The sequence below is a fragment of the Homo sapiens genome, chromosome 22 (assembly GCF_000001405.40).
Source record: "Homo sapiens chromosome 22, GRCh38.p14 Primary Assembly".
In the NCBI taxonomy this organism is placed as follows: Eukaryota; Metazoa; Chordata; class Mammalia; order Primates; family Hominidae; genus Homo; species Homo sapiens.
This window is the reverse complement of record NC_000022.11, coordinates 39,817,181-39,838,579: the sequence shown is the minus strand read 5'-3', so window position 1 is coordinate 39,838,579 and position 21,399 is coordinate 39,817,181. Positions and strand designations below refer to the sequence as shown.

Genomic DNA, 21,399 nt, shown 5'->3' with positions numbered 1-21,399 from the left:
GATTGCTAGCTACAAGCAGGGCTCAGCAGAAATCCTGCCTCTATTTTATTTATATTTGTATAAAGATAAATGCTGAGAAAACTTGTTCACCTAAATCATAGATGGGACAAGAAGGTGCTTTATTATAATAGTGTCAGTCAATTCTATGAATTTCTTCCAAGTAATATGCTGGAAATTATATAGTGATTTATTATAAAATATATTTTTATCTCTTGTTGACTGTTAACTTGATGAAGTCATTTTTCAGTGTTGCTAAAAGCAAAGAATTAGAAACACCCTACTTAGAAAAAGACTTGTTAAACAGTCATAAGGAGTAATTTACTTTCTCAATTTCTGGGAAGAATACCAAAAAAATTCATACTAAAATTTATTAAATAACTATTAATTAAACCTGTTATACTTTAATTTAACCGAATATACTCAGAAAGTGTGAGAAAAATTAAAATATTAATTGCAGTATATCTGTCAATACAATTTTTTGAGAAAATAATTTTATTGTATCATATGCTGTAAATATACTTTCATCAACTCTACAGAACCTCAGATTTGGTTCATTCAATTTTTGGAAAATATTTACCATATAATCTAGGTTGGTAAAGCCAACTCTCATTGTTAAGACAACTAGCCAAATCAGATTTAAAGTTTCCTTCAGAAAATGTCTTACTTTATTCAAATAAATGTATAAACAGATGTTGTCCTGATTGTCTTCACACTCCTGAATCCTTTCCTAAGATGGATGGCAAAGGCATGCAGCCTCATCAGGAGTTTGTTGCATTGGTGACATATGGCACCCCTGCCTCTCATGCTTGCCTGGCTTTACTCTCAGGGGACTCTTCCTTAGGAATAATGCATTCTTTGATAATAGGTGAGGAATGAAAAACACAAGGACATTAAACAAAACTTGTCATCTGTCCTGCTGCCTCGTACTGTAATATATCAGAATACCAAACATGCTGGTGTGGACCAAAATACCTTGTTATTTATGCCATGCTTTCCCATTAAAAGAAATGTCTGGACAGACAGACCATTAGTTTTTTTCTGCTTTGATTAAAGGAGGCTTCCTCTATGTTCGTATTTTTAACTATTATTTGGTGCCTTAGAGGTTCTTATGCTTGGGAAGATATCATAATAAGATGGGTGAAGATATGCCTTTCTTTTGTAAAATGGGAGAAAATTGATTATTAGAGGGAAAGGGGAAAGAACTAGCCTGATACCTCTGCATAGTTGCATTCTCAGGCAGATCAGTTTTTGGTAAGAACATAGGTGGAAGTTGCGGATCTGGAAATTGCTTCCTTTAAAACTATCTATGCCCACCTAGCCCTTGGGAAATCTTTACATATCTCCAGTAGTGTGTATATACCAATTTGAAGGTAGTTTTTCTTATACTTTTTATTGTGCCCAATGATATGCTGAGATAGAGTTGGTACTAATACTTTCAGATTAGACTTTTTAGAGTTGGTACTAATATATAGTAATTAACATAGCAAGGGAAAGATTAGGACTATAAAAATATTGTTTAGCAAAAAGATATAAACAGAAATATCAGTTTATTTTCACTGGTTGTATTAGTACATTCTCAAATTGCTATAAAGGACTACCTGAGACTGGGTAATTGATAAAGAAAAGAGGTTTAATTGGTTTATGGTTCTGCAGGCTGTACAGGAAGCATGGCTGAGGAAGCCTCAGGAAACTTACAATCATAGCGGAAGGCAAAGGGGAAGCAAGAATGTCCTACATGGCTGGAGAAGGAGGAAGAGAGCGAAGCGGGAGGTGCTACACACTTTTAAACAACCAGCTCTCATGAGAATCCACTATCACAAGAACAAGGGGGAAATCTGCCCCATGAACCAATCACCTCCCACCAAGCCCCTCCTCTAACATTGGTGATTACAATATGACATGAGACTTGGGTGGGGACACAAATCCAAACCATATCACAGGTGTATTCTTTTATGTTCAAATCAAAATTTAAAAATTGTGTTGAGTTCTTTTATCTAATAATCTATACATTTCTGATTAGTTTCTCTTAGAACACATCAAATTCACACTGCAGTAATAAAGTTCTTTAAAATATTAATTAAAATAATTACAGTTCTCATTCCTGCTTTGCTAAAATTTTATTTGAATACTTTTCACTTTTTCAAACTCTATTTTCTATACTACATTAAACCTTATTTTTTAGAAAAGATGACTAAGTAATGTTATAACAGAGTTGTTGATGTAGGAAAGGGCTAGAATTTAAATTATTTTTCTAAATTTTCTCTGACCAAAGATTTTAATATTTATTCTAGATTGACTTATCATAATTATTGTTAGTATGCAGTCAATCAAAACCACATAAGTGCATTATAAATTTGTATGAATATTTGTCAAATATAAAGAAAATAATTTTATTTTCTTAAGAATTTAAGTTGTATTTTTAAAATCAGTCTGAACTTCTCACTTATTACAAAGAGACATATTAAAGTGATTAACACTCATAGGTTACCACTGGCAGATGGTTTATATTTAGCAGGAAAAAAAGGTATCTTCAGAAGTGATTAACTTACAAATTGGGAACTAATATAAAAACATAACTGTGTTTTGCCAAAGTAAAATCTTAAGCTTTATATTGTTGACAGGAAATGTGTGCAAGGCAGGATTGAAACAAGAGCATTGCCAAGATGTTCATTTGCCTACAGAAACTATGTTGTCCCAGGAAACACTTCCACTCAAGATTCATGGTTGGAAATCAACAGAGGTAAGTCTATAGTTTCCTATAGCTGCTGTAATAAATCACTGCAAGTTTTGTGCCTTAAAACAAACAAATTTATTATCTTCTGTAGGTTAGAAGCCTGACCCAGGGCTCACTGGGCTAAAATCAAGGTGTCCGTAGGGCTGTGTTCTTTCTGGAGGCCCTAGCGGATGATGTGTTTTTATGTTTTGGGTTTTTTTTAAATTTGTCTTTTGCAGCTTCATGTGTTCCAAGAGAAATTGTGCTTGTCTTTTAACTTTGCTTTTGGTGTCTTTTGTTATTCAAGGCTTTAAATATTAATAAGGTCAAATTATCAAAGTTTTATGGTCTGTGCTATTAAAAAAATCTTGAGAAATTATTTCTTACCCTAATATAATAAAATCTCTTATTTTTTCTTCTAAGTGTTGAGGTCCTTATGTCCTCTAGAATTTTTCTGTATAGTAGAAGATAGAGTCCTTCTTTGTACCCTTGTGGATAGGCAATATTTAATTTGTTGAATAGTCTTTTTCTACCCATTAAAAAGAATTCTTACTATGAAATAATTGTATACTCACAGGAAGTTGCAAAAATAGTACAGAGTCCCGTATGCCCTTCTCTCAGCTTGTGCCACTGTTGGCATGTTGTATGGTTGCAGCACAACATCAAAACCAGAAAACGGATATTGGTATATTAATTAGTACCAACTGGATTGCAGCCCTTATTCATTGTTCAACTTTTCAATTCACTGTTCAGATTTTTAAACTTGTATTTGTGTTTTTGTGTGTGTGGTTCTATGTAATTATATCCCATGTATAGATACGTGTAAACAGAGCCACAATGAAGAGATAGAACTGTTCCATCACCACAAAAGAAGTGCCTCGTGCTACCCACCCCACTCCCAACTCATCCTCTGGCAATAATATTTTCTCCATCTCTGCAGTGTTTGTCATGTCTATAACGTTATATAAATGGAATGAGACAGTATGCAGCCTTTTGAGATGGAATTTTTTCGCTCAGTGTAATGCTCCTGGGGGGCCGACAGGTTGTCACATGAATCAGTAATGCATCCCTTTTTGTTGCTGAGTATGTTCCACTGTCAGGATATACCAGATTTTGTTCAACCATTCATTCATTGAAGAATATTCGGATGTTTCCTTCTTTAGCTATGATGAATAAAGTTGCTGTGAATATTTGTGTACATATTTTTGTGTGAAGTTTTCATATCTCGGGGATAAATGTCAGAGAGTTGTAGGGTTGTACGGTAAGTGTGTGCCAAGTTTTGCAAAAATAGTCAAACTATTTTCCAGAGTGGCTATACCATTTTATATTCCCATGAGCAATGCATAAAAGATCCAGTAGCTCTGCATCCTAACCAACTTTTGGTATTACTGCTATTTTAATTTTAGCTCTTCTAATAGGTCTGTAATGATATCTCATTGTGATTTTAATTTGCATTTTCCAAATGGCTAATGATGTTGAATATCTTTTCATGTGCTTATTTGTGGCATTATAACTTATCTTTGACCTTATTCATATGTTCACATCTTTTATCCATTTTCTAATTGAATTGGTTTTCTTTTTACCATTGAGTTTTGAGTTCTTCACATATTCTGGATATAAGTTCTTTGTCAGATATGTGATCTGTGTATATTTTCTCTCCGTTTGTGGCTTGTGTTTTCTTTTTAACAATATCTTTCACAGAGCAAAATTTTAAGATTTCAATGAAGTCAAATTTTTCAGTTTTTGAAAATCATGCATTTGGTGTCATATCTAAGAACTCTTTGCCTAAACAATGTCACACAGGTTTTCTCCTAAAAGTGTCATGTTTTACGTTTAGGTCTGTGATCTATTTTGAATTAATTTTTGTGTAAGGTGTGAAGTGTATAGATAAAGGGCTTTTAATTTTTTTTTTTTTTTTTTTTTTTGCCCAAGTATATCCAGTTGTTTCAACACTATTTGTTGAAAAGACTTAATTTTACTACAGTATGCGTAAGTGTGGTTTTCTTTTCTTTCCTCTTTCTCACCCATGGGACTTTTCAGTTGGAGGATTTTTCATCTCTATTTAGTCCTGTGAAAGTTATCTCGATTTTTCTTCAATCATTTTCTACTGTTGATTTTCACTTTTTTATCTTTCTTGGACTCTTATTATCTGGATATTAGTAATTCTCTATCTTTATATCTCTTCACTTTTCTTTATAGTTTCTATTTGTTTTCTTTTTTCTGTGAGTTCCTCAATTTGATCTTCCAGCTTAGTAATTTATTCTCAGCTATATCCATTCAATTTTAAATATCATCTATATTCTCTATTTCAACTATTCTATTTTTATATGTAATATTCAGTATTTATGTTTCTTCTTTATATCATGTCTTCCTGTTTCATATTACTTATATCCCTTTTTATTTATCTTGGTATGTTTAGTAAATTTATTTTAAATTCTTGGTCTATGTTTTCTAATATCTGGGCTTCTGATGAAATCAGTGATTCAGTTTTTAATTTTTCTTTTGAAATAGTTATGCTCCTCCAATGGCTGGTTATCTTTAGAGGTAATGGCTGCTTTTTTTAAGTATTGCTAAAGGCTAGAGCTTAATCTGTCTGCTCCCTATCAGCTTAAGTGGGAGGTGAAGGAAATGGACTCGAGAGTGAAGAGTATTTCTTCCCCTTCACCCCCATAAGACCTAAGCTGATCATTTCTCACCCTAAGGATCAATGCCTCAAGTTATGAATTAATTCTTAATACCCCAAGAAGAAGTAGCCTTAGGGGGAGACACTTCTTAAATTGCAAACCACATGCCCACCTGGGGGACAGGAAGAGGAAGGGTGAAGAAGCATCTTCCCAAGCCTACCCCAGTCGCCCCCAGATTTTCTCAGCTCCTTGCCCACTCGGCTTCTGCACAGACTGGAAGGTACTCCTGAGTACAGCTGCCTGAGTCCCAGTAGCTGTGGAGGCCAGTTGCAGGGCAGCAAATGGAGTGTCATTATGATACTTTTCTTCCTATGTTATCTTGTCACTGCAGACTCCCTTCCTTCCGTCCCAGGATAAAGCCAGCACCGACACCCCTACTCACTCTCACACACATTTACCAGTTCAAAAGAGCTCTGTGTCTCCCCGGGGGCCTTTCAGTTTTCTTCTCATTTTGATGTCGTTCCTTTATAGTACCTCCTGGGTTGATCTTGTGAGAGGGAGCCACCAGAACCAGAAGCAGGACTTGCTGTTCTTTCTGCAGTGTTCTGCGACCTTCTCAGACATAGTATCTACTTAACTCCTGTTTGCACTTTCACATGACAACTCACATCTTTAATTTTAGCATATAGCTCTTAAAACATTACTTTTCCTCCATCTCCTTGAACACTTTTTCTGCTTAATTTCCGTTAAATATACATTGGATTACTCTGTCATTTTTAATGGCTTTCAGCAGCTTTTTAAAACTTTTTTTTGTTTCATATCTCCATGCTGCATTGTGATTAGATCATCTTTCAGTTCATTTATTCTCCTTTCGTAGGTGCCCACTTAGAATTTTTCTGTCTAGTGAGGTATTTATTTATTTATTTATTTTAGAAACAGAGTTTCCCTCTGTTGCCCATGCTGGAATGCAGTGGAATGATCATAGCTCACTGTAACCTCAAACTCATGGGTGCAAGCGATCTTCCCACCTCAGCCTCCCAAGCAGCTGGGAGTGCATCACTATGCCTGGCTAATTTTAAAAATATTTTGTAGAGACGAGGTCTTACTATATTGCCGAGGCTAGTCTCGAACTCCTGGCCTCAAGTGATCCTCCCGCCTTGGCCTCCCAAAGCACTGGGATTACAGGCATGAGCCACCACATTCTGCCAGGTTTTTATTTCAATAACTCTATTTTTCATTTAGAGAACCTCTCATTGCTTCTTAAGTATATCCATTTGTACTTATTTCATATCTGCCTGTTTTTATTTCTTGATTTATTCCGGTAAATTAAATGTTATCCTTTTCATTATCTTTTAAGACTACGTGTACTCAGTTTTAAATACTTTCTATATATTTTGTTTGTTTGTTTTGTTTTTTGAGACAGAATTTTGCTCTTGTCACCCAGGCTGGAGTGTAGTGGCATGATCTCGGCTCACTGCAACCTCCGCCTCTGGGGTTCAAGCGATTCTCCTGCCTCAGCCTCCCAAGTAGCTGGGTATACAGACGCCCGCCACTACACCTGGCTAATTTTTTACATTTTTAGTAGAGATGGGGTTTCACCATGTTGGCCAGGCTGGTCTTGAACTCCTGACCTCAGGTGATCCGCCCGCCTTGGCTTCCCAAAGTGTTGGGATTACAGTCATGAGCCACCGTACCTGGCCCCTATATTTCTTTATTATATTGACTTTTTCAGGAGTGAATTTGGTTTTCTTTCTGTGTTTTAGAGTATTGGATTATAAGCTCATCTTGAGTAGCTCAAGTTTTTGTTTTTGTTTCTTAATCTTTCTCTCTGTGTCCTTTCTCCTTCCTGCTTAACAGTCTTTCATTTTGCCTCCTCCTGACACCCAGAACTATTCATCCACATTCAGGACTTACTGGCAGCTTGGGATTGCTTTCTTTTGCTGGTATCAGAGATATTGCAGATCTGGTCCCTAGACCAAAGGATGCTGTATTTTAATTGCTAGAGAGGTTTGTGTTCTCTCACCTATCCGAGTCTAATACTTTTAGAAGCCACAACCCCAGGCTGTGACTGATGACAGGTTATTTCAGCTTCCTTTGTAAGTGGGGATCCTAATACCTGAGCATAATCTCAAGCAGGGATCCATATTCAGCACTCCTATCTTGAATTGACACTGTAGCCTTCAGCAGTTGAGCTCCTGATTTTCTCTGACATTTTCTGTACCCAGAGCCCCAAAGGTCCACAGCTTCAGCCTCTCCTTACCATTATTTGTTTCTGTTCCATGAAGATGTTAATCTTGGTTTTGAGCATGACTGTATCTTTTTAATTTTCACATTTGCATTTTCTCTCTCATTGCTCTATATTTGGAGAAGGGAGACATCCCCAAAGTATGAACATACAGAACCATCTTGGCTAGAAATCCGTTTCACTCATGACTGTGAAATTATCTCATTAATTCGTTTTTCTGTTTGTTGTCTGTTTCTCCCACTAGAAGGAAATCTTCTTGAGTAGAGACCTGTTTAGTCTTTATTCATTGCTGAATCTTCAATTGACAAATTTTTGTCAACTGAAGAAATGAATGAATAATAGACAGTAAATGAACGTTAGCTTCTCTTTTTTTCCTGTGAAAGATGCTTGTTTAGTCTTGTGCTCAGAGTGCTTTTCTTAGTGTTCCCTGCTGGAATTCCTATAAGGAAGGTTGGAATTATTATTATTATTTTTTACTTTCTGTTCCTGATGCCTTTCCCCAACCCAATTAGGTATCGGATTCAATTGTTTTTCTAACAGCTTAGAAAGGTACATAAAATTAAAATTTCGCTGTTCTTTAATTTCGTAATAGCTCACTGACTGAAAAGACAGATTATTTTAGGGGCCGGGCACAGTGGCTCGCACCTGTAATTCCAGCATTTTGGGAGGCCGAGGTGGACGGATCACTTGAGGTCAGGAGTTCAAGACCAGCCTGGCCAACATGGTGAAACCCCATCTCTACTAAAAATACGAAAATTACCGGGCGTGGTGGTGTGTACCTGTAATCCCAGCTACTTGGGAGGCTGAGGCAGGAGAATTGTTTGAACCTGGGAGGCAGAGGTTGCAGTGAGCTAAGATTACACCACTGCACTCCAGCCTGGGTGACAGAGTGAGACTCCATCTCAGGTGTGTGTTTGTGTGTACACACATAGATTGTTTTAAAAGATAAGACAACAGGGCATAGTGATGTGTGTCTGTAGTTCCAGCTACTTGGGAGCCTAAGGCAGGAGGATCACTTGAGCCCAAGGAGTTTGTAACTGTAGATAGTATGCTATGATTACACCTGTGAATAGCCACTGCATTCCAACCTAGGCAACGTAGTGAGACCCCCATCTGTAAAATAAATAAATAAATAAAATTTAAAGATAAGACATTAAGTCAAAAATTATTTTATTTATTTATTTATTTATTTATTTATTTATTTATTGAGACAGAGTCTCTCTATGCCACCCAGGCTGAAGTGCACTGGCATGATCTCGGCTCACTTCAGCCTCTGCCTCCCATGTTCAAGTGATTGTCCTGCCTCAGCCCTCCAAGTAGCTGGTACTATAGGCGCCTGCCACCATGCCCGGCTAATTTTTGTATTTTTAGTAGAGACAGGGTTTCACCAGGCTGATCTTGGCCAGGCTGATCTTGAACCCCTGACCTCAGGCAATCCACCCGCCTTGGCCTACCAAAGTGCTGAGATAACAGGCGTGAGCTACCGTGCCCAGCCAAAATGATTTTAAAATTTGAGATCAGCCTATTTTCTGCTGATGGCTTTTGAGGTAGAAAATAGACTTGAATAATCCTATGTGCTTTGGAATGAAAGAAATAGTCACCTATTTTTTTTTTTTTTGTATCTGTCTTTAAATCCTGATTACTATTGTTTTTTTCTTACTTCAGAGAAACTCAGTGTTATTGATCTACATTACATCTTATTTCAGTGAGAAAAAATGTTGCATTTCTCTCAAAAGAAGTTTAGAAGTTGGATTTTCCTTTTTCAAAGCATCACTGTATTATAACAATATCCCATTATCCTCTTGACAAGCATCTTTTCTTATTACTATTAGGAGCATTTGTTACATTCCAATATGTCCTCTTCAGTAGTCTGCTCTTGTAGCAGAAGACAAAACCTAGTAAGTTGAACAGTAAATCTAATTGTTGTTGTCAAATGTACTACATCTACAGAATGAGAAATAAATGATTGCTTAGGCAGAATGAGGGGCGCTTAAAATATCTCTTAAAAATGTAAGTAGAAACCTCTTTAACTATTCTCATTTTATAAATGAAAGAAAAATTATCTTAAATGCAGTAAACAAAATTCATAACAGAATAGAGCTTTTAAAAGCAGAACAGGGCTTGCCTAAATGTTACTTTTGAAACTAAGGAAAGACTTTAAATTTATGACTGACATGATCTGTTTTCTCTATATATACTGCCCAGGATTTTTATTATTAGATTTGCTAATGAATAAGGCTATTTGCAGCTTTTCATCACCTCAAAAGACCTTACTCTTTTCCTGTTTGAGGAGATTCAACAATGAGGTTGTGATGTTTTTGGTCTCAGTTGTTTCCATAGAAACAGATAGAGATACTATGAATTGGTTCACACAAAATTAAAGCTGACCGAAACCTTCAGTCTAGTTGTGATTTACTAAATTGATAGTGATACACGATAAATATTTGTTTCCTACTGCCTTCATTTGTTATTTTGCTAAATGAAGAGTATACATTTTTATCTTTTGGTTTATTGGGATGCCATTTATTATATTTCCTAAAATTTGATCTCACCAAAGTTGTTAGAGAAATGGAAATTCTACTTATTCTAATTATGTTAATTCATTTTTCTTGTATCTTTTTGCTACATCATTGTTTTATGCTTAAAAGGTTTTTTTTATTTTCATGCTTGTACTCTTGTTACTTCTTTTTAAATTAGAAAGCACTTATTGAAAAGTGTTCAGACAACATCACAGGGTAAAGAGTACAGAGCAGGGTGGCTCCTTACTCCTCCATGCTTCTCAAGTTCCTTTCCCCAGAGGCAACTCCAGCAGTTTCCAGTGATTTTGGGGGGAAATTTTTGTGTCTACACATTTCTTTTACCTGACTGGTCTCATTCAATATGTATTGCTCTGCAACACACTTTGAACTGAACAATATATCATGGACATCTTTCTGTATAATAAATGTAATCATTCAATGTATATTTCAAGATATGCTTTTTTAGTAAACTACATCTTATAGACATTTTTCTATATCAGTACATATTGCTGTGCTGTATTCTTTATCTATATACGTATACACATACATATATATATATAATCTTAGCCATTTCCTATTGGTAATCACTTGGCTCTTTCATGTTTTTGCCTGTTAAAGCAAAGTTGCAATAATAATCCTTGTACATATATTTTTATTATGCTGTCTCAGAAGGGGAATTGCCAAAAGGTTATGCTTATTTTTAATTTTGAAAAATGCTGCCAAATTATCCTCCTAAAAGTTGTACCAGTTTATTGGTACACAGTACTGGTATACAGTTTATATAGTCTATCATCTTGATTCCCCTCATCTTTGCAAATACTGTTATCAAAAGTTTTCATTTTTGTCAATCTGAGAGGAAGAAAATTTTTATTTTAATTTTTTACTGTAACTTTTTATGTGTTTATTGGGCATGTTTGTTTCTTTTTACTGTTAACTCTATTCATGTCCTTTGCTTATTTTCCTTTTTGGTTTCTCATCTTTGTCTTAGCAATTCCTAAGAGCAATTTGTGTATTAGAGAATTAGCCCACTTCCTGGTTCTTTATCTATTTTCCATTTGATTTAAAATTTTTATTTATGACTTTTTTTGCTTTATAGAAATCTTTATAAAATGTTTATAAAATCTTTATTAAATGTTTAAAAAATCTTTACAAAATGTTACCCTGGGCTGACCATACTGGTTCATGCCTGTAATCCCAGCTCTTTGAGAGGCTGAGGCGGGTGGATCACGAGGTCAGAAGATCGAGACCATCCTGGCTAATACGGTGAAACCCCGTCTCTATTAAAAATACAAAAAATTAGCCAGGCGTGGTGGCAGGCGCCTGTAGTCCCAGCTACTTGGGAGGCTGAGGCAGGAGAATGGCGTGAACCTGGGAGCCAGAGCTTGCAGTGAGCCGAGATCGCGCCACTGCACTCCAGCCTGGGTGACAGAGAGAGACTCTGTCTCAAAAAAAAAAAAAAAAAAATTAGTTGGGCATGGTGGCATGCGCTTATAGTCCCAGCCGCCAGGGAGGCTGAAGTGGCAGGACAGCTTGAGCCAAGATTATACCACTGCATTCCAGTCTGGGCAACAGAGCACGACTCTCCCTCAAAATTTAAAAAAAGTCACTCTGATCTTTTTTTTTTTTTTTAACAGACTATTTTTTAGAGCCATCTTAGGTTCACAGCAAAATTGAGTGGAAGCTACGGAGATTTCTCCTTATGTCCTCTACCCCTCCTACAAGTATACCCTTCCCACCCCTACCAACATCCTACATCAGAGTGTCAAATTTTTACAATCAATCAATCTACATTAACATATTGTAATCACCCAAAGTCCAGTTTACATTAAGGTTCACTCAATATTAGCAATATGTGAAATACAGCTAAAGCGGTGGTGAGCGGGAACTTTTCAGCACTTACATTTATAATGTAAACATTTTTTTAAACGCTTACAGTAGAAAAGAGGAAAGGTTTGAAATCAATAATCTAAGTTCTTTCCTCAGGAAACTCAGAAAAGTGAAATAAATGCACAAGGAATAGAAGAAAGGAAATCATAAAGAACAAATTAATGAAATTGAAAACAGGAAAACAACAGAGAAAAAGGAATGATACAAAAAGCCAGTTCTTTGAAAAAAAAGATAAATAAGTAAAAATAATTAAAAAATTTAAAAAACAATAAAAGTTGATAAACCTCTAACAAGACTGGCAAAGACAAAGAGAGAAGACACAAATCACCAGTATCAGGATGAGACAAGAGATAACCACTACAATTGCTTCAGCTCTAAAAGGATAGTAAGGGATTACTATCAACAACTTTATACTTACGGGCCAGGCATGCTCATAATCCCAGCACTTTGGGAGGCCGAGGCAGGCGGATCACTTGAGGCCAGGAGTTTGAGACCAGCCTGGCCAACATGGTGAAACCATGTGTCTATAAAAAATGCAAAATACAAAAATTAGCCAGGCGTGGTGGTGTGCGCCTATAGTCCCAGCTACTCAAGAGGCTGAGGCATGAGAATCACTCGAACCTGGGAGGCAGAGCTTGCAGTGGGCCCAAGTCATGCCACTGCACTCCAGCCTGGGCTACAGAGTGAGTGAGACTCTGTCTCAAAAACAAAACCAAGAACATCTATTTGGTTTGTTTGGTTAGTGGGAGGGAGGAATGAATAAAGCACAGAGGATTTTTAGGGTAGTGAAACTACTATGTCTGATATAAACCAAACAAACCAAATAGATAATCAAAATAGGCAGGCAGAGTGAGACTCTCTCAAAAAGAAAACAAAAAAAAAAACCACAAAAACTTTATAACTTTGACAAATCAAAAGAAATAGAATACTTTCTCAGAAAATGTAAACTACCCAAACTCAATAGTTCTACAATCATTTTAAAAATGAGAGTCTTGATTGCACCACTGTACTCCAGCCTGGGTGACAGAGTGAGACCCTGTCTCAAAAAATAAAAAAATAAAGAAGAATTAACAGCAGTTTTACACAATGTCTTCCAGAAAATGGAACAGGAGGGAAGACTTCCCAATTCATTTTATGAGGCAAGTATTACCCTGATCCCAAGTTTAAACAAAGAAGGTACAGAAAAAGAAAACTACAGACTAATATCTCTCATGAAACTAGATGCAAAAATTCTCAACAAAATATTAGCCAGTTGAATCCAGCAATATATAAAAGCATACAGAAATCAACTGAATGTCTACATACTAACAATGAACATGTGGAAACTTAAATTAAGACAATACCATTTGAAATACTTAGGTATAAATTTAAATACTTAGGCATTAAAATACTGAAGTATAAATTAAAATACTTATGTATAAATCCAAATTGAAATACTTAGGTATAAATTTAACAAAACATGTACAGAGTCCATATGTTGAGAATTATAAAATACTGATGAAGGAAATTAAAGAGGACCCAAATAGAGACCTATCATGTTACATGGATTGGAAGACTCAACATAGTAAAGGTCATAGTACAGATGACCCTAATTATTCTATAGGTTTAATGTAATTCCTATTAAAATCCCAGAAAGGTTTTCTATAGGGGTAGATAATAACCTTGTTCTAAAATTGATATGGAAAGGCACAGGCCCTAGAATAGCTAAAACAATTTTGAAAAGGAAGAACAAAATGGGAGTAATCCTTCTGCCTGATATTAATGCCTGTGTATAGCTACAGTAATCAAGAGAGTGCGGTATTGGTGGAGAGACAAACACTTGGATCGGTGGAACAGAATAGAGAACCCAGAAATAGACACACACAAACATGGCCAACTGATTTTTGACAAAGGTGCAAAGGAAATTCAATGTAGGAGGATTAGCCTTTTCAAAAAATAGTGCTACAGCATTGGACATTCAGACAACCATGAATCTCAACCTAAACCTTGTATAGAAATTCACTCCAAGTTAATCACAGACTTAAATGTAAACTATAAAACTTTTAGAAAATACAGGAGAAAAATCTTTGAGATTTAGAACTGGGGCCGGGTGCGGTGGCTCACCCCTGTAATCCCCGCACTTTGGGAGGCTGAGACGGGCGGATCACTAGGTCAGGAGTTTGAGACCAGCCTGGCCAACACGGTAAAACCCCGTCTCTACTAAAGATACAAAAAATTACCTGGTCGTGGTGGCATGCGCCTGTAATCCCAGCTACTTGGGAGGCTGAGGCAGGAAAATCGTTTGAACCCTGGAGGCGGAGGTTGCAGTGAGCCGAGATCGTGCCGTTGCACTCCAGCCTGGGTGACAAGGCGAGACTCTGTCTCAAAAAAAAAAAAAAAAAAAAAAAAAAGAACTGGACAAAAGCATGATCCCTAAAAGGAAAAATATGATACATTAAACCTCATCAAAACTGAAAATGTTTGCTCTGCAAAAGACCCTGTTAAGAGGATGGAAAGATAATTTACAGACTGGGAAAAAATATTTGTAAACCCCGTATCTGGCAAAGGACTAATATCTGGAGCATTTAAAGAACTGTTAAAACTCACCAGTTTAAAACCAAACAGTCCAATTAGAAAATGGGCACATGTTATGAACAGTCATTTTAACAAATACAGATGGTAAGTAAGCGCACGAAAAGTTGTTCAACGTTATTAGCCTTCAGGAAAATGTAACTTAAACATGCAATGAATATTAAAATGGCTAAAATTAAAAAATAGTGACAACACTAAATGCTAGTGAGAATATGGAGAAATTAAAACACGAATATATTACTGGTAGGAATGCAAAATGGTACAGCTACTCTGGAAAACAGTTTGGTAGTTTTTAATAAATCTAAACGTGGCTACTATATGAACAGCAATTGCTCTCCTAGGAATTTATACCAGAGATATGAACATCTAGGCTGGTACAGTGGCACATGCCTGTAATCCTAGCACTTTGGAATGCCAAGTTTGGGTGGATCGTTTGAGCTCAGCAGTTTGAGACCAGCCTGGGCAACATGGCTAAACATCATTTCTAAAAAAAAAAAATTAAAAAAAATTTAGTCGGGCATGGTGATGCGTACCTGTAGTCCCAGCTACTTGGGAGGCTGAAGTGGGAGGATCACTTGAGCCTGGGAAGTTGAGGCTGCTGTGAGCCAAGATGGCGCCACTGCACTCCAGCCTGGGCGACAGACTGAGACTCTGTCTCAAAAAGAAAAAGAAAATGTATATCATACAAAAACCTGTACACAAATGTTCACAGCAGCTTTATTTGTAATAGCCAAAATCTAGAAACAATCCAGAGGTCCTTTAACAGGTTAAACTATGTTACATCTATATCAAGGGTACTACTCGCAATGAAAAGGAAGAAACTTGAAATGAAATAATTTGGATGAATCTCTAGGAATTATGCAAGGCTAAAAAAGCCAGTCCCAAAAGGTTACATACTGTATGATTCCATTTATATAGCATTCTTCAAATGTCACAACTATAGAAATGAAGGAGAGATTAGGAACAGATTAGTTCTGTTGAGGGAGTGTATGTCTATGAAAGGGCATCAGAAAGGATTCTTGTGATTGTGATAGAAATGTTCTGTATCTTGACTATTTCAATGTCAATATCCTGAGTATGATATTGTACTATAATTTTGCAAGATGTTACCTTTGGAGGAAACACAGTAAAGGTTACATAGGCTCTATTATTTCTTACATGTGGATCTAAAATGAGCTCAAAGTTGAGTTTTTAAAAGGGGCAAATCACTTTGGAAAATGGTTTGGCAGTTTCTAATGAAGTTGAAAATAGACCTGTCCTATAAGCTAGAAATGCTATACTACTACTATGTAGTATCCAGGAATAATGAATGCATTTGTCCACAAAAAGATTTATACAAGAATGTTCATAGTAGCTTTATTCATAATAGATGAACTTTGGAAATAATCCGTATGCAGGAGAATGGATAAACAATTGTGATACATTCACATCTGTTTTTTGTGCAATCTCTCCCTCCTTTCTTATAGGTAGGAAAGGAGGGAGGAACTACACAGTAAAACATGGATGAATCTCATGTACATTATGTTGAGCAATAGGAACCAGACACAAAAGTATACATAGTGTATGATTACATTCATATGAAACTCAAGAACAGACAAAATTCAATAATGGTGATATGATAGAATAGTGGTCATGATGCAGGCTGGTGGGATGGTATCAGCTGGAAAGGAGCTTGAGGAAACTTTCTGGGTGCAGGAAATGTGGTTACTATATAATTGAATACTCATATGATAAAAGTTATCGAGCTCTACATGTAAGGTCTGTGTATTTTACTGTATGTTAATTACAATGGAGAAAAATTATCCCTAGTTCACAGAAAAAAAAAAAGACATACCAGCTAAACCCACTCTATAGACTTGATTTGGATCCTTTTCAAACAAGCTGTAGAAAAACCTGTTTATGACATTTAGGAGAAGTTGGAAATATGAACAGTTTATGGTAATTGATGACATTAGGAGCTATGAAGTTTATCAGTTTGATGCAGTTATTATCAGTTAGAGATTGCTGTCGTCTGAATACTTGTTTTCCTCCCAAATTCTTAGTTGAAATCCTAACACCCAAAGTGATGGTATTAGGAGGCGGGATCTTCGGGAGGTGACTAGGTCATAAGGGCATAGCCCTCATGAATATGATTAGTGCCCTTATAAAAGAAGCCAAGAGAACTCCTTGGTCACCTTCTGCCATGAGAGGTTATAGTGAAGAAATGACTGTCTAGGAGGTGGGGCCTTGCCAGACATCAGATCTGCCAGCACCTTGACTTGCTAACCTCCCAAACTGTAAGGAATAAATTTCTGTTGTTTATAAGCCACTCAGTTGATGGTATTTTGTTATAGTGACCGGAATGGACTAAGGCAGAGATACATAATGAAATAAGGGATTATTCTAGGATTTGCTTCAAAGTGAAACAGGTTGTCACAGATCACAAATGAGGCATGGTAGGGATATAAATGAAACAAGATTAGCCATCAGTTGATTATTGTTTAACCTGCATGATTGGATTGATTATCTTTTGTGTCTACTTTTTACTTGGTGATAAAAAGTTAAAAGTTTTAAATATGAATAAAAGATATATACAGGTGACTTTATGATTGCCAGTGAGACAAGATAATTGGCCTCTGAGATAGTATGCTGTAAGGATGCTGAAGGGTGGTAGGTAAAGGTAGTGCCCTAAGCAAAATCCTTGCTATCTACCGACGGTGTCTTCAGCAAGGTCTGGGGATTCCCGAGGGCACAAAACCTCCCTACACCCAGTAGACAGCCAAGTGATAGATGTATGTTTGAGTTAATTAAATTAGAATGTGTTTATGATGATGTTAGCACATTTAGATACTTTGTAGCTCAATAAATTGTCCATCCAGGGATATTAATTTTTTTCTTCAATTCTCATGTTCTTGTGTTTTCTGTCAGGACCTGATGACATTTTTGGATGATGATCCAGAGCTGCCTTTACTAGCAACACCTCCTTCCATTGTCTCTCCAATCACTTGCTTGTCAGAAGCAGAAGAAGTTTGTAATCTTTCGGGTGCAGGTAAATTGGTTAAGGAATAGGAAGTTTACTTATCAGATTTTATTTTGTGAAGTACAGCAACCGTTGGCTTCTATTTAACTTTGTTAATGAGGGACAGAACTAGCATGGATAAATTCAACCCACAACATGGTCCTATAATCTTGTTTTACCATTTGTTTCAGTGTTTTCTCTCTTCCTGTTTTACTTTTTCCTTTTTCATTGTTTGTTTCAAAAATTGACTACAAGCTTTAACTCTTTTACAAGTAGTTTTAATAGCAGAAAATTAATTTTAGTTCCTGTTTTTTTTCATAAAGAATTTAAATTATGAACTCTTTCAAAAGCAGGCATCAAGTGAAAATGTGAAGAGCTAAGATGCACAGTAGCCACAAATTGGTTAATCATCTCTTGAGTAATTAACATTAGAGAAAGGCACAGTATAAAATTATACAAAACTAGCCTCCAATAAATTACACGATTGAGTTCCAACTGGGCTCTGCGACTACTCTGGATCCTTGAGGATCTGACTGACTCACTGTTGAGTCACTGCATCCTGTCTCTATTCTCCATGAACTCTCAATTTTCAATGCATTCTTCCTCTTGATTTTCTCAGAAAGTAGAATGGAAGATCTTCTGCCACCATGAGAACGAAACGTTCTCATTAGTATCTTTCATCACCTTATAAATCTTTGCTTTTATATTCATACAGGCATCTTTTCCCTTACCACAGAGGTGGCTTTTTATGTTTTGAGTTATATCTTCCCACTCTTCTTGGACCATGCATCTCACATTTTCTCCTTATATAGATCTATAATATCCAGTGTATAAGTGCTATAGTTTATTAGTATGGGTTTATTTTCTTGTTCAAGTTCATATTTATAGAGTTTTCTTACAAAGCCAGTTGTGAGAATGATGAGGATATTTTAATAAACACAAAAACAAGAAATTGGGGGTTATAGTGATGTTTGTATAAGGATGGCATTAGTCACATGGATAATTAGTTATAAGTGGTTATAATTTTTAGAAAGCTTGCTTTGTATTCTTAAACAGATTTAGATCCAGAAGCTTGAAAGAAGAGCATTAAGGAAAATGTTTTGTATTCTGCACCCCCTGACAGTTTTTTCTCCTAAAATTTTAAAAATAGACTTTGTTTTAGAGCAGTTTTAGGTTCACAGCAAATTTGAGCAGAAAGTAAAGAGTTCCCACGTACCCCTGTTCCACACCAGAGTGGTACATTTGTTACAATCAATGAACTTCCATTGCCATATAATCATCTGAAGTCCATGGTTTATATTGGGCTTCCCTTTTGGTGTTATATATTCTGTGGGTTTGGACAAATGTATAATGATGTGTATCCACCATTATAGTATCAGACATAGTAGTTTCACTACCCTAAAAATCCTCTGTGCTCTATTCATCCCTCCCTCCCACTAACCCCTAACAACCAGTGATCTTTTTACTGTCTCCATAGTTTTTCCTTTTCCAGAACATCATATAGTTGGAATCAGATGGTATGTATGATTTTTAGATTTTTTTTTTTTACTTGGTAATTAACACTCTGGGTTCCTCCATATCTTTTCACGGCTTGATAGCTCTTTTCTGTCTTTTTTTTTTCTTTGTTTCTTTTCTTTTTTTGTTTTTGTTTTTGTTTTGAGACAGAGTCTCGCTCTGTCACCCAGGTTGGAGTACAGTGGCGCGATCTCGGCTCACCGCACCTTCCACCTCCCGGGTTCAAGCGATTCTCCTGCCTCAGTCTCCCAAGTAGCTGGGACTACAGGCACCCGCCACCATGCCTGGCTAATTTTTGTATTTTTAGTAGAGTCGGGGTTTCACCGTGTTAGCCAGGATGGTCTTGATCTCCTGACCTTGTGATCCACCCACCTCAGCCTCCCAAAGTGCGGGGATCACAGGCATGAGCCACCATGCCTAGCCGATAGCTCTTTTCTTTTTAGTGCTGAATAGAATGTACCACAGTTTATTTATCCATTCGCCTACTGTAATGCTGAATAGAATGTACCACAGTTTATTTATCCATTCACCTACTGAAGGATATCTTGGTTGCAGTTTTGGCAGTTATGAATAAGCTGCTTTAAACATCTGTGGCAGGTTTTTGTGTGGAGAAAAGTTTTCCCTCCTAACATTTTAATACAAGTGAAATTGAGTATAAATGAGCATAAGAAGCAATCCTAAGGAGGAAAAAAGTAAAAAATGTAGCCGGAGGGGGGATCCCACCATTTTACTTGGCTTGGACCCATCTTAATCAGAGGGGCTTTTTCTATTTTTAAGTCATTCATTTCTGCAATCTTTCCTTTACAGTAGTCTCAGAGATATCTTGCTAAAATGCAGATCTTAGCATTTCACTTCCCAGCTTAAAAGCTTTCAACAGTTCTCCACTGGCAATAGGATAAGTCTAATTTTTAAAATAGTACCAGACAAGTACTTTTCATAGTCTGGTCCCAGCCAGACTATGGGCTTCATCACCTAAAACTGCCAGTACTCACAATGCCCTGTGACATTCCATTGCTTGTGTACTTTCTTCTCTTTAGAATGTCTTTGTTCCAGTTACTTTGACTGTGTAACACATTGCCCTGAAACTTCGTGGCATAATCATTTTTTCTGCTCAAGGATTCTCTGGGTCAGGAATTAGGATAGAGCACAGTGGCGATGGCTTGTCTCTGTTCCATGATGCATATCTAGCCTTAGCCAGGGAACACAAAGGCTGGGGCAGGAATCATCTGAAGGCTTGCTGACTCACGTGTCTAGCAGTTGATGCTGGCTATCGGCTGGAGGCCTCAGTTCCTCTCCATATGAGCCTCTTCATGTGGTCTTTCCATGTAGGCTAGTTTGGGTTTCCTGACAGCATCGTGGCTGTGTTTCAAGGATGAGTATTTTGTGAAAGAAAGGACCAGACAGAAGTTGAATCATCTCAGAAGTCATGCTGTAATACTTCCACCTCATTCTGTTCAACAAGGCAATCACAAAGTCCTGCCCAAGTTTAAGGGGGTGGGGACATAGACCCCCCTACAACCTCTCCATGGAGGAAGGAGTGTCAGTGTCATATTGAAAGAAAGGCATATTGGATGAGACATATGTTGGTATAGTCATCTTTGGAAAATATAATCTGCAACAATCTTCCATCAAATTATAAATCCTTGACAAAATCCTATTTGAATAGCCAGGTCCAATGAAAATGTCACAACTGCTATAAAATCTTTCTGCATGCTAAACTAGTTTCTCCTTTCACTATGTTCCCAGAAGACTTTGCCCATTTCCCCATTATACAGTTTATAATTTTGTATCATAATTATTTAATAAATATTTATTTTAAAATTATATAAGTGAATATACTCTTAATTTAAAAAAATTCAAATACAGAGAAAGTCAAAAGCTCCCTTGACTGTCCCTTACCCCAACACAGTCCCCTCCGCAGAGTGAACTATTACCAGTTTGGTGATTACCTCCCATACCTTTCTGTGTGTATTACATACATACGTGTACCTTTAGAAATATATAGAATTCACTTTGTTTTAAAACCTTATTCTGCATTTTCCTGAAGCTTTTTTTAACTTAAGAATATCACTTGACTATCCTTCGGTGTATGTCAATGTGTAGAGATTTGCCATATTTTTAAAAACTCCTGCAATCCTGGCTATCATAGTTTATTCCCTTGCTGATGACATTTTGATGTTTTTCACTGTTACAAAGAATGCTTCAGTGAATAACCTTGTGCACATATGTGAGTGTTTCTTTAGGATGTGCTCCTAGAAATGGATTCTCTTGGTCATAATTTGTGCCCATTTTCATCGTAATTCATACAGCCAAACAGCCCTTCAGAA

General features: G+C 36.6%; 1 protein-coding gene across 7 annotated transcripts in view; it reads left to right on the top strand.

The window, feature by feature from the left end:
• Positions 1-21,399, top strand: part of ENTHD1 (ENTH domain containing 1) — a 150,717-nt gene that overhangs the window by 55,181 nt on the left and 74,137 nt on the right. For 6 of the 7 annotated variants that reach the window (XM_006724150.4, XM_011529928.3, XM_011529927.3 and 3 more), the window contains 2 exons: positions 2,622-2,740; positions 17,467-17,587. In XM_006724150.4, the coding sequence (XP_006724213.1) occupies positions 2,622-2,740; positions 17,467-17,587 (240 nt within the window). Of the gene's footprint in view, positions 1-2,621; positions 2,741-17,466; positions 17,588-20,401; positions 20,897-21,399 lie in introns of those variants that run through there. The other variant, XM_006724153.4, reaches the window with a different exon arrangement.